The 20,318-nt window shown below is 42.7% G+C and overlaps 1 protein-coding gene across 23 annotated transcripts in view, besides 1 other annotated feature; it reads left to right on the top strand.

Annotated features, from left to right (window-relative positions):
- Nucleotides 1–12,327, top strand: part of DLC1 (DLC1 Rho GTPase activating protein) — a 521,260-nt gene extending 508,933 nt beyond the window's left edge. For 18 of the 23 annotated variants that reach the window (NM_001348082.2, NM_001348081.2, NM_001413124.1 and 15 more), the window contains 8 exons: nucleotides 443–602; nucleotides 731–929; nucleotides 2,863–3,076; nucleotides 4,256–4,370; nucleotides 5,218–5,436; nucleotides 6,984–7,201; nucleotides 9,225–9,398; nucleotides 9,757–12,327. In NM_001348082.2, coding sequence (NP_001335011.1) covers nucleotides 443–602; nucleotides 731–929; nucleotides 2,863–3,076; nucleotides 4,256–4,370; nucleotides 5,218–5,436; nucleotides 6,984–7,201; nucleotides 9,225–9,398; nucleotides 9,757–9,877 — 1,420 coding nt within the window. In that variant the 3' untranslated portion in view covers nucleotides 9,878–12,327. The remainder of the gene's footprint in view (nucleotides 1–442; nucleotides 603–730; nucleotides 930–2,862; nucleotides 3,077–4,255; nucleotides 4,371–5,217; nucleotides 5,437–6,983; nucleotides 7,202–9,224; nucleotides 9,399–9,756) is intronic. The other 5 variants (NM_001413129.1, NM_001413136.1, NM_001413135.1 and 2 more) reach the window with 4 other exon arrangements.
- Nucleotides 4,623–5,822: an enhancer, noted in NCBI's record as "MED14-independent group 3 enhancer chr8:12947375-12948574 (GRCh37/hg19 assembly coordinates)". NCBI's record gives its function as "activates an origin of replication core promoter dependent on BRD2, BRD4, P300/CBP and CDK7 cofactors, and independent of MED14, by STARR-seq in HCT116 cells {active_cell/tissue: HCT116}" and the evidence as "EXISTENCE:reporter gene assay evidence [ECO:0000049][PMID:35650434]".

Below are 20,318 nucleotides of genomic sequence, written 5' to 3'. Positions count from 1 at the left end.
GGGTATTACATGTTGTTTTCTGCTTGTTCCTTCCTATACCGCCATTCTGTAAGGAAATCCATCAGCTTCCTTAAGACTGTAGACCCCAATTCTCCAGGTTCAAGGTGGAAGGACGCTCCTAACTGAGGAAACGGACCTGTCAACCCCCACTCTTAGAAGATCTAGAACAGCACTGTCCAGGAGAACTGTCTGGATGATAGGAATGTTCTTTATCTGCACAGGCCAATACAGTAGGTACTGAGCACAAAAGATGAAGGAGCACCTGAAGTGTGGCCAGTACCACTGGGGAACTGAATTTGTCATTTTGTTTAATTTAAATTTAAGTAGCCACCGTATTAGCACAGATCTGGAGCCCACAGGGTTTGCCTGCAGAATTGGACAAGTGTAGACAGACAAGTGAGCATGTCTCCGCCAACACCACCATCTCTGTGTTCTTTAACAGGGCCGTGCCCAAGTTCATGAAGAGGATCAAGGTTCCAGACTACAAGGACCGGAGTGTGTTTGGGGTCCCACTGACGGTCAACGTGCAGCGCACAGGACAACCGTTGCCTCAGAGCATCCAGCAGGCCATGCGATACCTCCGGAACCATTGTTTGGATCAGGTGAGAGCGCTGCCTGCGGGTCCACGTACTCAGGGGAGCTCGGATTACATGCAGCTTCTTCTAGTTGTGTGGTGTAAACACTGCGTCCACGTGAATGTACCCCACACTTAGTGTTGCTCTTCCGACAGGTTGGGCTCTTCAGAAAATCGGGGGTCAAGTCCCGGATTCAGGCTCTGCGCCAGATGAATGAAGGTGCCATAGACTGTGTCAACTACGAAGGACAGTCTGCTTATGACGTGGCAGACATGCTGAAGCAGTATTTTCGAGATCTTCCTGAGCCACTAATGACGAACAAACTCTCGGAAACCTTTCTACAGATCTACCAATGTGAGTGTCCTTTGATCTTAAGATTGTTGGCATTGGGGAAAAATGGGACCAACTGAAGCTTGTAGCTTCCTTGATAGCATTCTTTTTTTTTTTGAGATGGAGTCTCGCTCTGTCATCCAGGCTGGAGTGCAGTGGCGTGACCTCGGCTCACTGCAACCTCTGCCTCCCAGGTTCAAGCGATTCTCCCACCTCAGCCTCCCAAGTGGCTGGGACTACAGGAGGGCGCCACCACGTCTGGCTAATTTTTGCATTTGTAGCAGAGATAGGGTTTCACCATATTGGCCAGGATGGTCTCGAACTCCTGACCTCAAGTGATCCTCCCACCTCGGCCTCCCAGAGTGCTAGGATTACAGGTGTGAGCCACCACGCCTGGCCTTGATAGCGTTCTTTTGACAAGAGAGTCTGCATGGTGACCTCTTGGAAACCCATGTCATCACCTTCTTCCTTGCCGCCTTGTTTGTGGAACAGGTTTCTGTGTAATTATTGAATGATGTGAAAATAAATTTCCCAGTCTCTAATGACTGATGCAATTGTACGTTTTTACGTGCAAAATGAAAAGTTAGACTTTCATTAGTTTCTAGAACAGTGTTATCTGAGCTGGTCAGATAAAGATCAGGTACGAAGATCTCTTTCTGTCTCCACCTTGTCTACAGAAATTTCAGTTGCTTCACACCCCTCTTGGAGGGCCGTTGGATTTAAAATTTCACAGGTGTCTGTGTGTTTTATCTTGCTGTAAAATGAATAAATAATCTTTTTCTGTTATTCATCTCAGTCTCTGCCAGAAATACTTGGGAGAACAATACCCATGCCCTTCTTACTTTTATGTAAAGCTTAAAGAAAACAGTTGTCGAAATTAATGATCAAGATCAGGATTATGGCTTTTACAGCCTTGTGTTTTTCTTGGCTCAGTGTGGTATTACAGCAACGTAATTTAAAAGCAGCCTCTCTTAGCGCTCAAATTGTCTCTAGGATTGGCACAGTGGACTTTATTTTATGAGAAATGGAGCTGGTCTGGATTATTTCATTGGTTGTTTCATCCTTTCATATTTTATAAAAACACAGGTCACATTTTCCTCACCGAGGTATTTGTTATGTGCTGTAACCATGGAGCTGTTTAATCAGTTTGTCCTATGGAGCTACATTTGAGTGACTTGATTTTTCCACCACATGCTCTTTTAAAGAGTTATGTATTCAAGGAGACCTGAAGATCGGGATCAGCATTTTCTACCTGTAGATTGTTTATGGGTTTATTTGCATTTTTATATATTTGCATATTCATATGCATTTTTATAGCCTCTCGAGCATGCTTTCTAAAACTTAAGAAATTACTAATTCAGTGTGTTTTATTTATTAATTGAACTGAACTGAATATTTTCAGTTCAGTTCAATTCAGAACTGAATATTTTAGCAGCTTTTCCCACTTCAAGAAGGAACAAATCAGTTAAACTCATGCAAATCTCCAGAGATACTGAACATTTTGTACTCAAGGCTGAGAGATCTCTGTTCTTACGTTCTTGTACATATCTCAGATAAGATTTTTCATCAACACTAAACAAAAGTGTATAGTGTTTTCAGTAATTGAGATTGATAAATTAGGGATTTTTTTTTTTCATGCTTAGGAAAGAAAAAACTGTTCTGTAAACTAAAAGAGCAGGCATCCTCTAGAGCCGAACTCTGAGGTGGATTTAAGAGTGTTTGGGTATTGTGGGTGTTTAAAAATTTTTTCACTCCTTCATGAGGCAGGAAATACTTGAGGATAGTGACGCCGGTGGCAATTCATAACTTTTACCGTATTAACCTCTAGTGCACTTTCTACAAGTGCTTGTTCAGTACTGGGCTGAGGTATTTGATGCCGATATTTGCTCTGGGACATTTCCTTGCAATGTCCATGCAAATTCACCAAGCTGATGGAGAAAGTGCTGGTGTCGTGCAGATGTGCCCAAGGACCAGCGCCTGCAGGCCATCAAGGCTGCCATCATGCTGCTGCCTGACGAGAACCGGGAGGTTCTGCAGACCCTGCTTTATTTCCTGAGCGATGTCACAGCAGCCGTAAAAGAAAACCAGATGACCCCAACCAACCTGGCCGTGTGCTTAGCGCCTTCCCTCTTCCATCTCAACACCCTGAAGAGAGAGAATTCCTCTCCCAGGTACGGGCTGCATGGGAGGTGCATGCACACAGGGGGCAGCCTACATTCTTCCTAGGACTCTCCGTAGCTGTGGTTTTGTGGGACTCTTTCCTGAAACAAGCAAGAAGGTTAGACCGCTATATTAGTCCATTCTCACACCGCTAATAAAGACATACCTGAGACTGGTCTGTTGGCGTGCATGAGAAAATAGTCTCACTGGACTTAACCCCCACAGACAAAATCCATCGAACTGATCCTTTTCCTCAGCTCTAAAGGAACTTGAAAAGTATTTCTTAGCTAGAGGCCTGGGGCCTAGTTATGCTAGTGCAGGTTAGGTTGCTTCTGAAAGTCATATAATGTTTAAATGTATGTTTAAATAGTTCCTTTTGAGACAGAGTCTTGCTCTGTTGCCCAGGCTGGAGGGCAATGGCACGATCTCAGCTCACTGCAACCTCTGCCTTCCAGGTTCAAGCCATTCTCCTGCCTCAGCCTCCCGAGTAGCTGGGACTATAGGTGCCTGCCACCACGCCCAGCTAATTTTTATATTTTTAGTAGAGACGGGGTTTCACCATGTTGGCCAGGCTGGTCTCGAGCTCCTGACCTTATGATCCACCCGGCTTAGCCTCCCAAAGTGCTGGGATTACAGGCGTGAGCCACTGCGCCCGGCCACATTTAAATAGTTCTTAAAGTTGACTGGGGCATTCCAACTGCAATGGGATACAGAGCTAGAGATGAGTAGAGGAGAGAGATCAAATAAGATGAAGACAAAAGGTCAAGGAAACAATGGACTTAGCCCTCACCTGTGGGAGGGGGCCTGTGTATTCAGGCAGATAAAGATGATGACACCCTTTACTCCAACTCCCTGGGACTCCTTTCCCACACTCCTCAGAAGTTGCTCCCCCACCATGCAAACACAGCCCCTACAAGCTGCCCTGTTCCCAGTAGGAACCTATTTAATTAAATGGTTTGAATCACCTGGATTTCATCAAAAGCATATCTCTTTAATGTTTTTTTGTGTGTTGTTGACAAAACTCTGAGATACTCTGGTGACCAAAGTAAAAACACTCTTAATCCACTTAACAATAAACAGATTCCAGTGAAAATTTTTTTTTCTCTCTTCTTTGGGTTTCCTTGAATAATACCTTGAAGAAAAATATATAAATATTTGAACTGTTCCCCTCCTGTATTTCTTCTACCTAGGGTAATGCAAAGAAAACAAAGTTTGGGCAAACCAGATCAGAAAGATTTGAATGAAAACCTAGCTGCCACTCAAGGGCTGGCCCATATGATCGCCGAGTGCAAGAAGCTTTTCCAGGTAAGGAATTGAGAAGTTTGGCTCCTTTATTAAGGATAATGTGAATAGGTACAAAATCTTAGGCTTGACCCTTGTTCATGTCTTACCTGAAGACCTTTTCCACAGCTGGAGACGGTATAAATAGCCTGAGAATGTCTTATTTACATATATTATAATGTATCAGCTAGAGTTAATCATGTTTAATGAAATTGTCCCTTTACTTGGAAAAGCAGCCGGGCGCAGTGGCTCACGCCTGTAATTCTAACACTTTGGGAGGCTGAGGTGGGTGGATCACTTGAGCTCCGGAGTTCAAGACCAACCCGGGCAACATGGTGAGACCTCATCTCTACAAAAAAAAATTTAAAAATTAGCCGGGTGTGGTGGTGCACACCTGTAGTCTCAACTACTTGGGAGGCTGAGGTGGGAGGATCACCTGAGCCCAGGGATGTGGAGGTTGCAATGAACCAATATTTTGCCACTGCACTCCACTAGGTAACAGAATGAAACTCTCTCTCAAAAAAAAAAAAAAGAAAGAAAGAAAGAAAAAGCAACAAATTATCTGGAATTAAACTGCTGTATCCACTTCCGTATCTGAGAAACCTGCTTTGACCAATGTAATTCACTCCCCCTACTCTAACTTTCCAAAGACCTTACATGGAAATAAGATTTCAGATACATTTATGGAGGTGATCTGTTCATATCCTCGTGATAACACGTGCGGTCAGCATGATAGCCCACCTCCGGCGGGAAGATGCCTGCACTGCTTTAAGGACCAGGCCATTGTTCCTACCCAGTCTTTTCCACTGATGGGCATTGAGATTGAGTACAGGTGGACTCACCTCCTTTCTGTCTGTCATGTTCCGCACAGGTTCCCGAGGAAATGAGCCGATGTCGTAATTCCTATACCGAACAAGAGCTGAAGCCCCTCACTCTGGAAGCACTCGGGCACCTGGGTAATGATGACTCAGCTGACTACCAACACTTCCTCCAGGACTGTGTGGATGGCCTGTTTAAAGAAGTCAAAGAGAAGTTTAAAGGCTGGGTCAGCTACTCCACTTCGGAGCAGGCTGAGCTGTCCTATAAGAAGGTAAGGCTTCACCCTGTTGTCGGCTAGTTGAGTCCAGGAGTCGAAGCTTGGGTCCATCAGAGATAACACGCTTTTGCCAACTAATCTGTCTGGGGATCTGTAGCCCACAACCTCCCTTGTAGAGCTGGGCACCGGGGTGAGTAAGATCCCCGTGGTGAGAGTGGAAACCGGGCAAAGCAAGAGTAATTTTCTTCCTGTGTAACACTTGGGAGAGGATTTCAACTATTTCTAATGAACTCCTTTGGCTCTACAGAATCACACTAGACTTCCCTAGAATGTTTTGCTAATGGCATTGAGATGCGGAACATCCTATGACACGCTTCGATTTTTCCATAATTTGGTCAGAATCCCTTTGCACTCTTCTCTGTTCTTAGTTACTGTTCTCTTGGCCCTTTAATGAGCGGGGATCCCTTAGGGGGAAATTAACTCCAGTTAGGACTGGTAAACCTCTTGAGGGCAGAGGCATCTTGTAAGGCTCAGCAGGATAGGTCCATCGGAGGTATATGTTGATGCCGCCTCTACCATCTTGAAAATAAACAAACAGTGGGAGTAGGCTGGGTGGCCTTGCCGGCTTTGGAAATGAGTGCAAATGTCTGATGTTTTTGTTTTTATTTATTTATATTTTTTGAGATGGAGTCTTGCTCTGTCACCCAGGCTGGAGTGCAGTGGCATGATCTCGGCTCACTGCAACCTCTGCCTCCCGGTTTCAAGCTATTCTCTTGCCTCAGCCTCCCGAGTAGCTGGCGCTACAGGTGCCCACCACCACGCCATGCTAATTTTTGTATTTTTAGTAGAGACGGGGTTTCACCATATTGGCCAGGCTGGTCTCGAACTCCTGACCTTGTGACTGCCCACCTTGGCCTCCCAAAGTGCTGGGATTATAGGCGTGAGCCACCATGCCCTGCCAGTGACTGATATTTCTTTATTGCATGCACTCTGATATAGGTCCCAGAAAAAAAAAAACAAATGTCATCATTTTTTTCTTTTTTCTTTTGAGATGGAGTTTCATTCTCATCACCCAGGCTGGAGTGCAGTGGTGTGATCTCAGCTCACTGCAAAGTGCCTCCTAGGTTCAAGTGATTCTCCTTCCTCAGCCTCCTGAGTAGCTGGACTTACAGGTGCCTGCCACCACGCCTGGCTAATTTCCATATTTTTAGTAGAGACAGGGTTTCACCATGTTGGCCAGGCTGGTCTTGAACTCCTGACCTCAGATGATCCACCCGCCTCGGCTTCCCAAAGTGCTGGGATTACAGGAATGAGCCACTGCACCCGGCTCAAATGTCATCATTTTGACTCGAGTTGACAACAGCTTTTTTTCACTTTCTGGCTTGCTCTTAAATATGCTTGGGGACAGCAGCCTATTTAAGTCATAGATTTATTAGCCCCCAATATTTCTTTATATACTGATTATATAGTATTATTTATATCATTTAATCAATTAACGTTGATTATATGTAACTAAAATTGTTAGTCTAACTAACAATTCGACTTCAAAAACTAGGTGTGTATGGATTGCCTTGGCACTGAAAAATACATCCTCTTTCCAGGTGAGCGAAGGACCCCCTCTGAGGCTTTGGAGGTCAGTCATTGAAGTCCCTGCTGTGCCAGAGGAAATCTTAAAGCGCCTACTTAAAGAACAGCACCTCTGGGATGTAGACCTGTTGGATTCAAAAGTGATCGAAATTCTGGACAGCCAAACTGAAATTTACCAGTATGTCCAAAACAGTATGGCACCTCATCCTGCTCGAGACTACGTTGTTTTAAGGTGAGCGCTTCCCAGTTGTTTTTTTGTGACAAGGATGACTCCATATATGAACCAAGCCTATATGTCACTGATCTTACAAGATGGTATAATTATTTAAAGTAGAGGCCGGGCATATGGTGGCTCACACCTGTAATCCCAGCACTCTGGGAGGCCAAGGTGGGAGGATCACTTGAGGCCAGCAGTTCAAGACCAGCCTGGGTAATATAGCAAGACCCTATCTCTACAAAAAAATTTTAAAAATCAGCTAGATGTTGTGGTGCATGCCTGTAGTCCTAGCTACTCGGGAGGCCGAGGCAGGAGGATCCCTTGAGCCAGGAGTTTGAGGCCGCAGTGAGCTGTGAGCATGCCACTGTACCGCAGCCTGGGCAACAGAGCAAGACCTTATTTCTGAATAAACAAAACAAAACATATGCTTCCAGAAAAGTAGTGAACACCTTCAAATATGGAAAACAGATCTACATTTATTCTAGCAGTGTGTTCCTCGCTGAGAATGGTCTGAACTCTTTGGTAACTGAGCTCAGAAAGAGAGGCCCCTTCCAATGAATATGCTCATTCGTAGCAGATTTTTGCCCCTTTTAGGATAGATTTTCTTGTCAGAAACAGCTAGTGAATGAATAAGCCAGGAAATAACATTTGAGTCCCAAGGGAGATGTGGTTAAGGCTGATGTATGTGTAATTCATAAATTCTCTGGAGATATTACTGAAAGAAGAATTCCAAAAATCTTTGTGGAAATGTCACATTGGAAGTCCAGACCTTTTCAAACAGCCAGCGCTCCTTTAGGTGTCTGTGTTCCAAGACATTTGTGAAATAGAAAAATGGTTTTAAGCTACACTTCAAATGGGCTCTTTTTTCAAAGAGGAGACTGTCTGAGCACATAAACCCTCTGTAACAACGGCTCTGTACAGAGTTCCTCATTCAGCAGTCCTTGTACAGTGTCTTCGTGCATGTAATGCTGCTCTAACAGAATCTCACAGACCAGGCAATTATAATGAACAGATATTTATTTGGCTCATGGTTCTAAAGGCTGGGAAGTTCAAGATCAAGTAGTTGCATCTGGTTAGTTGGTTGGTTGTTTGATTGATTTGGGGACATGGTTTCATTCTGTCACCAAGGCTAGGGTGCAGTGGCACACTCATGGCTGCTGAAGCCTTCACCTCCCAGGCTCAAGCAATCCTCCCCCCTCAGCCTCCCAAGTAGTTGGGACTGCAGGCATGTGCCATCACACCTGGCTAATTTTTTTGTTTCTGGTAGAGACATGGTGTCACCATATTGTCCAGGCTGGTCTCAAAACTCCTGGGCTCAAGCGATCCTCCTACCTCAACCTCCCAAAGCGCCGGGATTACAGGCATGGGCCACCCACCATGCCTAATGAGGGTCTTTTTGCTGTGTCATCCCATAGTGGAAGGGCAAAGAGAGGGCAAGGGAGAGCAAAAGAGCAAATGTGCAGCCTCAAGCCATTTTTATTTTTATATTTATTTATTTTGAGATGGGGGGGTATCACTTTGTTGCCCAAGTTTGAGTACAGTGGCATGATTACAGCTTAAGCAATCCTACCATCTCAGCCCCCGGAGTAGCTGAGACTACAGGAGCACACCACCATGCCCGGCTAATATTTTTTATTTTTAGTAGAGATGAGGTATCACTATGTTGTCCAGGCTGGTCTTGAACTCCTGAGCTCAAGCAGTCCTCCCTCCCCAGCTTCCCAAAGTGCTGGGATTACAGGCGTGAGCCATGGAACCCAGCCTTAAGCTCTTTTATAATTGGCATTAATCCAGCTCCCATTAGGCCCCACCTCCCAACACTGTTGTATTGGGCATTCACTTTCCATCACATGCTTTTTGGGGAACACATGTACACCATAGCAAGTAGTTTAGAGGATGCCATTTACCTAGGCCTGGGTCACACAGCATGGCCACTGAGCCTGACCCGTCACCACACTGCAAATAGTGAAGAGTGAAGCACGATTTTAAACTTGGCTTCTATGAAATTCCATCATTTCTGCCTCTGGTTTTGTCTCTACAGAACCTGGAGGACTAATTTACCCAAAGGAGCCTGTGCCCTTTTACTAACCTCTGTGGATCACGATCGCGCACCTGTGGTGGGTGTGAGGGTTAATGTGCTCTTGTCCAGGTATTTGATTGAACCCTGTGGGCCAGGAAAATCCAAACTCACCTACATGTGCAGAGTTGACTTAAGGTATGTTCTGATTCTGATTTTTTTATATGGTGAGGGTCATGAAGGAAATTCTGACTTTTTGTCTAATGCAAAGAATGCCTTAAACAAACACGTCATTTTTTCTTGGTGACTTCATGAAGAATGGTGTTTAGAAAGTAGCATTTCATGTTTGTTGGTCTTTCAGCGACCACTTCGTAATTTGGTTCCCTTAGAAAATGTGGTTCTAAAGCAAAGCAAATATGGTAGCTCGGCCATGAATTCAAAGGCATGGGAAATGATAGATTTTATGCATTTGAACTAGCAAACAGATGTTTCTCATTTTATTTCCATGCTTTCTAACTTAAATAATTCATCAGCTTTTCTTTCTTTTCTCTGATAGGGGCCACATGCCAGAATGGTACACAAAATCTTTTGGACATTTGTGTGCAGCTGAAGTTGTAAAGATCCGGGATTCCTTCAGTAACCAGAACACTGAAACCAAAGACACCAAATCTAGGTGATCACTGAAGCAACGCAACCGCTTCCACCACCATGGTGTTTGTTTCTAGAACTTTTGCCAGTCCTTGAAGAATGGGTTCTGTGTCTAATCCTGAAACAAAGAAAACTACAAGCTGGAGTGTAGGAATTGACTATAGCAATTTGATACATTTTTAAAGCTGCTTCCTGTTTGTTGAGGGTCTGTATTCATAGACCTTGACTGGAATATGTAAGACTGTGCAAAAAAAAAAAAAAAATTTATGTGTATTCTTATTCAAATTGCTTCTGAGAAGCAAAACTCTTTAAATACATTATGGAAGATAATGAAGATACTTCATTCTCTTGTGATATCAGTGTATGCGTACCTGTGTCGCTTTATTTGCAGTGTGTTGAGGGACTGGTGTATCCACTGGAATAGTTGGTACTCTTGGATGTGTTTTCTCACCAAGATGAGCAAAGAAAGGTTTGCACAGAGGAGTGTGAATGTGTGTTTGTTGCTGGCTGAATGGCAATAGATGTCTAAGGTGGATTCAGTGTCTGGCACACTGAGACACCTCCAAGAAGGAGATTGATGCATCAGGTTCAGTTTAACCTGGAATATCTGACTACCCCTGAATCCACCCAGAAAGGGGGCCCAACACCCTTGTCCATTTATGGGTATTTTTTTTCGAAGTTATTAAGCATATTCCTTTTCCACGAACCTCTTCTGTACTTTGATTGTAATAGGTTGGCTCTTACACCCATTCCAAATGCAGTTTATTTTTAGACCCGATTGCAAATAGTGATGTAGTTTTAACCAGTATGGATTAGTTCAGGGATGAACTGCTCCCTCTAGCCTTACTGGCTCTGATCCACAGGGTTTTGTTTTGTTTTGTTTTGTTTTTTGTTTAAGTCGAGATATAAAAACTGAACACGATAACACTTACTCTTAAATCAAGCATCAACACTTTTTCCCTGTTAGAATTCTTTGCATTTTTGTGTTTGTAACAGAAACGCCTTAAGACACTATGTTTGGGAATATAGGAAACTATGTGTGTCCCAAGGAAATCCCTGTAAATTTAACTCACCTACAAAAGGCTTTTTCCCCGCCTTTGGTTGTTAACGGCATTCCTGAAAGCCACATGTGTTTATTCATTGGGCTTGTTCTTATCAGCAAATAGGTTTTCTGGTTTTATGACTTTTTGTCTTATTTTATTTTTCCTACATTTCTTTTTTTTTTTTTTTCCTTTAGAATGCCCTGGAAATATATTTAAGTGGTAATGAAAAATAGTAATCATAGTAAAACGCAACAAGAAGAAAACCAACCCAAACCAGTGAAGTTTTTTAGAACCTTTAGAAGGGTGGTCTTTATTCAGGTTTTACTGTAATGGTAAGGATTGACTCAAGAGACAGTATTAGTAAATTTATTGTGTATGGATCAAAAGTGAATAATGTATGAATGAGAGCTGTAAGAAGGATTTTTATTTTGTTATAATTTAGTTACCATTTTCAGTGTTATTTCAAAGGTTCTTTGAAGAATTTTGGGGCAGGGCATCAGATTAGAGTTTTAAAATTTGAGTATTTTGGATATCAGTGTTCCTCATGAAGATATACATGGATATTCAATTTTGATGGCTTCCAGATTTGTAAGATTGTATGTTGTATATACCATTCTATTAAGAAACATGTCCACTGTGCTTTCAAACATAGATAAAGCATGATAAAGATTATTATTTAAGATATACTTGTATTTATACCTCAGATATTCTTTTGGGTTTTGTACCTCAAGGCTTTTTTCTTCTTATTGTAAATACACTTTACGTGAATACAGTCTAAGTGAAGAAAATAAATAAAAGGAAGAGGTTTATAACTTGCTCTATATCTGTACAGATTATAATCAATAAGTGCACTATTATTAAATGTTTAAAGTAAGGGAAAAGTCTGGGCTGCCTTCCTTAATATTGCATCTCACTCCCACCCTTAAAACCACAGATTGCAAAGCATAGCATTTTAGCATCAACTACAATCAAAAGAGCGATTTGCTGAAGGAAAAATCGGACTGCAAATCATTCCAAGGCCAAACTGCAACTGAGCCACCCACTCCCAAACAGGAAACCCTGGTGAAGGTTCAGGAAGCACGGAGATTCTCTCCAACAAAGGTCCAGTTAGGAAACGACGCTGAGAGGATGACGACAACGTGCAACAGCAGAAAGATGCTTGCAAGCAGAGTCAGGGTCACCAGTGAATGCCACAAAAGTTCTCTTTCCCACTGTTTAATTTGACAAGAGAAGAATTTGAAGGATATGAACATTTTCAAGAACTCTGCTGAGGTCACTTAGAGCGCCATCACAACTTATTTGTGTGACTAATTGCCTAGATTGTAAGCTCTTTGAGGGCAGGGCTTGTCTCTTACACATCTTTATAATCCCCTGCAGCGGCTTTCAGTATTTTGTACTTGTAGGCACCTAATAAATTTATTATTTGCTATACTGAACTGATTGGATTAGCTTCTGTTACTGCAAAGGGAAGAGCATCTAGGATCCCGATCATCTTAAAGCCTCCTTTTCATTCACTGCTGATTTTCAGATGACAGAGACTGGAAATTTCCAACTTCATGGGACTTTTTTTTTTTTTTTTTTTTTTTTTTTTTTTGAGATGGAGTCTCTGTCTGTCGCCGAGGCTGGAGTGCAGTGGCGCGATCTCGGCTCACTGCAAGGTCCACCTCCCGGGTTAACGCCATTCTCCCACCTCAGCCTCCCCAGCAGCTGGGACTACAGGTGCACGCGGCCACGCCCGGCTAACTTTTGTATTTTTAGTAGAGATGGGGTTTCACTGTCTTAGCCAGAGTGGTCTCGATCTCCTGACCTTGTGATCCACCCGCCTCGGCCTCCCAAAGCACTGGGATTACAGGCGTGAGCCACCGCGCCCGGCCACTTCATGGGATCTTAAGTTTTAAACTGAAAAAGACAAATTAACCTGTTGGAGTCTTAAATTTAAACTGATGAAGGTGACATAGATACTATATATAGATACTATGGCTACTGATTTTAAACAGTTTGTGATGGCATTTTAACAAATCACATGTCTCCCAATGTGATGTCTATCCTAGAAGAGGTTGTATTTCAACAAATACTTACTTTGGGCATAGAAAAAGGTTGGTGGGGGGGGGGCCCTAACCTTATAATCCGTTTTGTTTTGTTTTTTTTGTTTTGTGATTTGTTTGTTTTCGAGACAGGGTCTCACTCTGTTGCCCAGGCTGGAGTGCAGTGGTATGATCAAGGCTCACTGCAGCCTTGACCTCCCTGGCTCAAGCGATCCTTCCAACTCAGCCTCTCAAATAGCTGGGACTGCAGGCGCATACCACCACACCCAGCTAATTATTGTATTTTTTGTAGCAATGGGGTTTCACCATGTTGCTGAAGCTGGTCTCGAACTCCTGGACTCAAGCGATCCCCCACCTCGGCCTCCCAAAGTCCTGGGATTACAGGCATGAGCCACCATGCCCAGCCTTCCCCTTATCATTTTTTAAAAGACACACACACACACACACATCAGGGACTTTTTTTTTTTTTTTTGACTCTTCAAACCTGGTTTGTTCAGAGCTGTATAAAATAAAGATCAAAATATCATAGGCCTGAATACCTAGTACTTTATTTGAAGAGACCGGGAGTCATTGGTTCCCAACAGTTTACAAGGTTACCAAGGAGGGAGTAGCCACCCTCACAAGCCCCCAGTGTGGATTTAGATTGCTCTTATCACACCACCTACTACTTGCTTAATCAACACATTTTGTCAGTTTTTCACCAACTATGTATCCGGCACGAGATCAAGCTGTGAGCAAGGCTGGTATCACCCTGCCCTTGCAGAATTAAAATCTGCCCTCACAGATTTTTAAAATAGAAATGTCAGTGCCACGTGATGAGCACTAGGACAGGTTCCTATGCACTCAGAAGGAGAAGCTAAGGGTTTAACAAAGCTCAAGGTAATTGTTTTACACACTCCAAGCATCCTATCTACCAATTTAATGGAATAAGTTGGGAAAATCTAACAACATTACATGATTCTTTAAGAGATTTGTTTTCAGGGCTGTGGAGACAACTGAAATTTCTGAAAAGTAAGATCTAAAGAAAAATGAAGGAAGACAATAATCCGATATAGGTACTTTCCAACATCACTAGATAGGGGAGTGCAGAAAGAGAGAGGTTATAGGGGTATGGGGGATTTTACAGCTGCATTCATGTGTCTTTACAGCACTTTTATCCTCTTTTCATATGCTTACTTAAGCCTCACATGCACCCCGTGAAGCCTACATGTCCTCACCATTCTATGGCTAATTTTTGTATTTTTAGTAGAGACAGGGTTTCACGATGTTGGCCAGGCTGGTCTCGAACTCCTGACCTCAAGTGATCCGCCTGCCTAGACCTCCCAAACTGCTGGGATTACAGGCATGAGCCACCATGCCCAGCCCCCTACCTGCTCCTTTTCTCTGGCGACTTGTGGATTTAGTAATACCCTCCCTCTTTCCCCCACCAACCAGCCTTTCCCCTTTAAATACTGAAGCCTCAAAATCATCTTTGCAGAAATTCACAGACCTGTCTTCCAGGCATTGTCCTTAACCTTGGCAAAATAAACATCTACATTGATTGAGACCTGTCTCAGATACTTTTTGGTTTATGCCACCTGAGTCAGCGTCCCAAGGAAATTCTGTCACCCTATTACTAAGATGACAGGAGAATTTAAATCGGTGAAGATAAGTAGGAGGAGAAAGTTTCATTTCAGGCTGATGGTTGAAAGACTTTGTAGGTCTGTCTCGTAAATCAAATATGATTTGAAGTGTAGAAAGACTCCGCTTATCCTCCTTGTGACACATAGGACCTGATTCTCCCCTTGTGCAAGAACAGAACAGTTAATTACACATGTGGTCTGATCACAGCACACCCATTCTCTCTTATCATGCATTTCTTAGTGGGTACACGGGAACATCTACTGACAGGCTTCTTAACTTGCAGCCCAGGACCAGAATACCAGTCTTGTAACTCTTCCTGCAATACCGCATAATGCCCTCACCACCACACAAGAATATCAGGAAGCGCCACAGAGATATTTGTGAAGGTGCTTTGAAAAGCAAGGGTTATTCAGCTGTGAGGGAGCACTCAGGAAAGCAAAGTGGAACTGAGCCCAGCTGCTTTCCCTCCCCTGCCTGTTGAAGCATATGTTAATGACTCTAAAGCAGAAATCCCAAACAATGAGATCATGCCATGCATGTCATCTTGGTGTTCCATCAGGATGAAATTTGCCTAAGGAATTTAAATTCCATTTGCCTAAGGAATGCAAATTATAACAGATCTCAAAGAGCCTGTGGCAGGAAAAGCTCAGGTAGGTCTGCACAGTTGCAATGAGTTTGGGCCCATTCTCTAGGGGATGATGAGACTTTTGCAGGCAGGGAGTTTGCTAAATCATGTTAGTAGCTGTAGCCCAAAGTAATTACCTTTGCTGTATATACACAGGTCCCATGAGAGCAGCTGGCTTCTCTGTCCGGACTCAAGGCTGTGTTGACACCTATAGTAATAAACACCTTTCTGCACACATTTTTCAGCCACTGGATTTTTTTTTTTAAAGGGGAGGGGAGTTCAGGGCTAAAAGTGTTACAACTCATAAGGTCTTCTCATTTCCTTTTCTCTCTCGTTTTTTTTTTTTTTTTAATTTTTTTTTTTTGAGATGGAGTCTCACTTTCTCTGTCATCCAGGCTGGAGTGCAGTGGCGTGATCTCAGCTCACTGCAACCTCCTCCTCCTGGGTTCAAGAGATTCTTCTGACTCAACCTCCCAAGTCGCTTGGATTACAGGTATGCACCACCATACCTGGCTAATTTTTGTATTTTTAGTAAAGACGAAGTTTCACCATGTTGGTCAGGCTGGTCTCAAAGTCTTGACCTCAAGTGATCCGCCCACCTTAGCATCCCAAAGTGCTGGGATTTCAGGCATGAGCCACCACGCCCAACCTCTCTTTCCTATTAAGATACAAAACAGCAGCCAGGAGTGGTGGCTCACGCCTGTAATCCCAGCACTCCAGGAGGCCGAGGCAGACAGATCACGAGGTCAAGAGATCGAGACCATCCTGGCCAACATGGTCAAACCCCGTCTCTACTAAAAATACAAAAATTAGCTGGGCGTGGTGGCGGGCGCCTGTAGTCCCAGCTGCTCGGCAGGCTGAGGCAGTAGAATCAGTTGAACCCGGGAAGGCAGAGGTTGCAGTGAGCCCAAGATCATGCCCTGCACTCCAGCCTGGCGATAGAGTGAGACTATGTCTAAAAAAAAAAAAAAAAAATTACAAAATATTGTGGAAAGGAAAAACCTTACTCTTTTTATGAATCTGAGAATGGCACTCACCAACATGATAAGTGATGTGTTTCTGCAAAAATAGTCTGATTTACAAGGAAGTCATTTCAAAAGCTTTTTGGATTACAGGCACTTTTAAAATACAAATGTGTTCGGCCCAAGTCTGAATGGACATGCTGTGAACTACCATTTATTATAATATTATAATGCACCGGGCAAGAGAATATGTGCTTTATATACAGTTAATATCTCATTTCAATTTCATAGTACCAGGCGTGGTGGCTCACACCTGTAATCTGTAATCCCAGCACTCTGGGAAGCTGAGGCAGGTGGATGGTTCCAGCCCAGGAGTTTGAGACCAGCCTGGGCAACATGGCAAAACCCCGTCTCTACAAAAAGTACAAAAATTAGCTGGTCATGGTGGCCTTCCTGCAGTCCCAGCTACTCTAGAGGCTGAAGTTGGAGGATTGCTGGAGCCCAAGAAGTGGAAGCTGCAGTGATCATGCCACTGCACTCCAGCCTGGGTGATAGAGTGAGACCCTGTCTCAAAAAATAATAGATAAGTACATTTCATAGCAGCCTTTTGAGGGAGAGAACTTATTAGCCTCATTTTACAGATGGAAAAGTTTAAAGAGATAGGAAAGCTTAAAGAAATATAGTAGCTACATAATATTTACAAATGGACTCAAGAAATTGTAGGGCAGTACTTAGAACATTCTGCCATGCTGGAGATGTTCCTTATCTGCCCTGGCTAATATGGTAGCCACTAGCACATGTGGCTGCAGCTTGTGTAACTGAGGAGTTGAATGCTTCATTTTATTTAATCTTTTATTAATTTAAACCTAAATAGCCTCATGTGGCTAGTGGGTACTGTATTTGGGTAATGCAGATGCTATTTCAAAGATCTAAGAATATTTCCAAGCAATCTAACCCCTGTCACTCTCTTGGCCTATATAATAATGCTCTTAAGAAAGAAACAGGAAGGGTGCGGTAGCTCACACCTGTATCCCAACACTTTGGGAGATGGAGGAGGGAGGATCACTTGAGCCTAAGAGATCGAGACCAGCCTGGGCAACATAGGGAGACCCCATCTCTACAGAAAAAAAAATTAAAAATTAGCTGGGCATGGTGGTTCAGATCTGTACTCCCATCTACTTGAGAGGCTGAGGTGGGAGGATCGCTTGAGCCCAGGAGTTTGAGGCTGCGGTGAGCTAGGATCCCACCACTGCACTTTGGCCTGGGCAACAGAGTAAGACCCCATGTCAAAAAAAAAAAGAAAAGAAAAAGAAAAAAAGAAAGAGAGAGGAGAGGAGAGGAGGGGAAGAAAGAAAAAAAGAAAGAATAAAGAAAGAAAGAAAGAAAGAAAGAAAGAAAGAAAGAAAGAAAGAAAGAGAGAGAGAGAGAAAGAAAGAAAAAAAGAGAAAGAAGGAAAGAAGGAAGGAGAGAAAGAAAAAGAAAGAAAGAAAGAGAAGGAAGGAAGGAAAGAAAGGAAAAGAAAGGAAGGAAAGAAAGAGAAAGAAAGAGAGAAAGAAGAGAAAGAGAGAAAGAAAAGAAATGAACAGAAATACGGTAAAAATTTGTAAAAACCTAACTGGCCATATTTCAGGTCAGATAACATCAACTCAACATTCTGCCTGCCACAAGACTAAAACGGTATCTCCACCACCTATGGCCAGCCTCCACATTCCTCAAGCCAGAGTTGGATGACCTCTTTTCTTTGCTGCTATGGAATCTACACATCTCCAAACTAGAGATAAAAACGCAGCTGATCCGAAAAGAATGCCTAGTAATTCAGACTATTCTCAGCTTGCTGTGACCCTCGCAGACATTGCTGTTCCAGCAACCACAGAGATCATTTTGTGGTCTGTTCCTGTCATTTTGCATGTCTGTTCGCTTGTCTCTGGTATCGTGGCTTCTTTTCATGTTGGTAAGACTGGCCATTCAACAGCAGCATTCAGAGCCCAGAGTCAGCTTTGATGGAAGGAGTTCCTGATCCAGGTTTGATAAGAGAGGTCTGCACCCAAAAGTCAGCAGTAACAATTCTGAGACAAAGACGCATCTTCCACAGTGGTTTCTAGACTTTCACCTCCAAAGGATTTTTGTTATATTCCTTAACCTGCTCCACCTTTTCCATAGTTTTCAAATATTTCTCATATTACACAGTATAATTGTTTGAGGAAGTAATGTATTCATTTTCTTATTTTCAGCGTATACACGTATTATTTACAACTGCTAATCAAGGCTAGAAGCCTCTCAGAAAGAAGTGTGAAATAACTTTTATTGTCACACAATTTGAGCGTTCTCAGTGAAAAGCAGTTTTCTAAGGCTTTTAAAACTGAAGGCTGTGGGATCTTAAAATCAAAACAATTGAATTCATGGATGTAGTAGGATTGTTACCAGAGGCTGGGAAGGGTAGTGGGGAAAAGTGTATATGGTTAATGGGTACAAAACAAAATAGTTAGAAGGAATGACTAAGACCTACTATTTGATAGCACAACAGGGTAACTATAATTAATAATAACATAATTGTACATTTTAAAATAACCTAAAGATTGTAATTGGATTATCTGTAACACAAAGGATAAATGCTTGAGGGGATGGACACCCCATTCACTATGATGTGATTATTTTACATGGCATGCCTGTATCAAAGCATCTCATGTACCCCATATCTATATACTCCTACTATGTACTCAGAAAAATTAAAAATTAAAAACTTTTTTTTAAAACCTCAAGACTGTCCAACGCCATTCACTTCAACGATCTCAAGTCTGTAGCCCAGTGAAGGTTCCTGGCTCTCTTAATCACTCGGCACAGGAGGTGATTAATCAAGGAAATGGAGGATTTAACATCTGTCCCAGAGAAAACAGTTTTCCTTACTTCCGGGGCCAGCAGATAGAATGTATTTTTTTTTCAATAACAAAGATAAGCGGAGCTCTATTTTGTTGCAGTGTTTCAAAACGTAAACATATAAATAGATCATTAATATCATTCCAAGAAAGCAGGAAATTCTTAGTCACACGGTCTGTAATGATTATTAAAGCAAGGAGGAAACGCTGAAATATCTCAAAGAGCTAGAGAATATTTCACCCCAAGATGCAGAATACTGAAAATAGAATATGTTTCTGAGCTACCTTATGGAAAGGAAAGAAGATACTAAAATTCTGGAAGAAAGCAGACCTGGCTGGTAAGGCAGGATGAGGGTAAAGCTCTTGGTTTGGTGGGGGGATTTGATTGCTTTTTATTTTGTTTTAGCCAACTTAATCCCACAAACATTTTTGGGTCAGATTAATATTTGCCACCATAGGCATATCCCATAGCCCAGTGGCCTTCTACTCTGAGAGACCCAACAGTTCCATCCCTTTTGGATGAATGACTTCAGTGGCTCATTCAGCCTAAGGTCAAGCTGCCTTTCAGACGACCCATGGGCATTTACATTTCAGAATTGCATTTTTTGGCGATTTTTGAACAGAGTCATTTCATGACATAGGAGACCTAACAGAATAAGAAAACCATTTCAAAGACTAACTCCTTTTGTTTGCTTTCATTCACTTCCTAGTTTCCTCTGATTCTAAGCCCATTGAATCCCAAGAAAAGAACAAATAGAGATAAAATCAGGAAATATAAAAAACAGCATCCTCCAAATAAAACCAGACTCTCATTTAAGCAACAGTAAAAGGAAGAACCAGTCTCTGAAGGAAGCAAACAAAAGAAGGACCAGGATAAGGTTTCTTTTTCTTTTTCTTTCTTTTTTTTTTTTTTTGGACAGGTATTGCCATGTTGGCCAGGCTGATCTCGAACTCCCGGGCTTAAAGAGATCCACCCACCTCGACCTTCCAAAGTGCTGGGATCACAGGCTTGAGCCACAGTCCACGGCCCAAGGCAAGGTTTCTCATGATCAAAATAGACTTGCAAAAATTCCTGAGTCTACATCACACCTCTGTGCTTGGAGACACCAAAAGAGCCAGACTCCCTTTCTTAGGCTGCCTGAGAGAATGCGATTTCTTATTTCAATTCTTACACTGACTCTAGGCCTTCTTTTCTCATCTTCTTGGTATTCAGGCTTTCATTATCTGGCCCATGTTCCTTCACCCAAATGCCTTCTCTCTCTCCGTGACTTTTTCTCTCTTGCCTCCTTCAAGCCAACA

Source organism: Homo sapiens, chromosome 8, assembly GCF_000001405.40.
Source record: "Homo sapiens chromosome 8, GRCh38.p14 Primary Assembly".
Lineage (NCBI taxonomy): Eukaryota > Metazoa > Chordata > Mammalia > Primates > Hominidae > Homo > Homo sapiens.
Note: the sequence above shows the minus strand (reverse complement) of the source record. Positions and strands in the feature narration are given on the sequence as shown.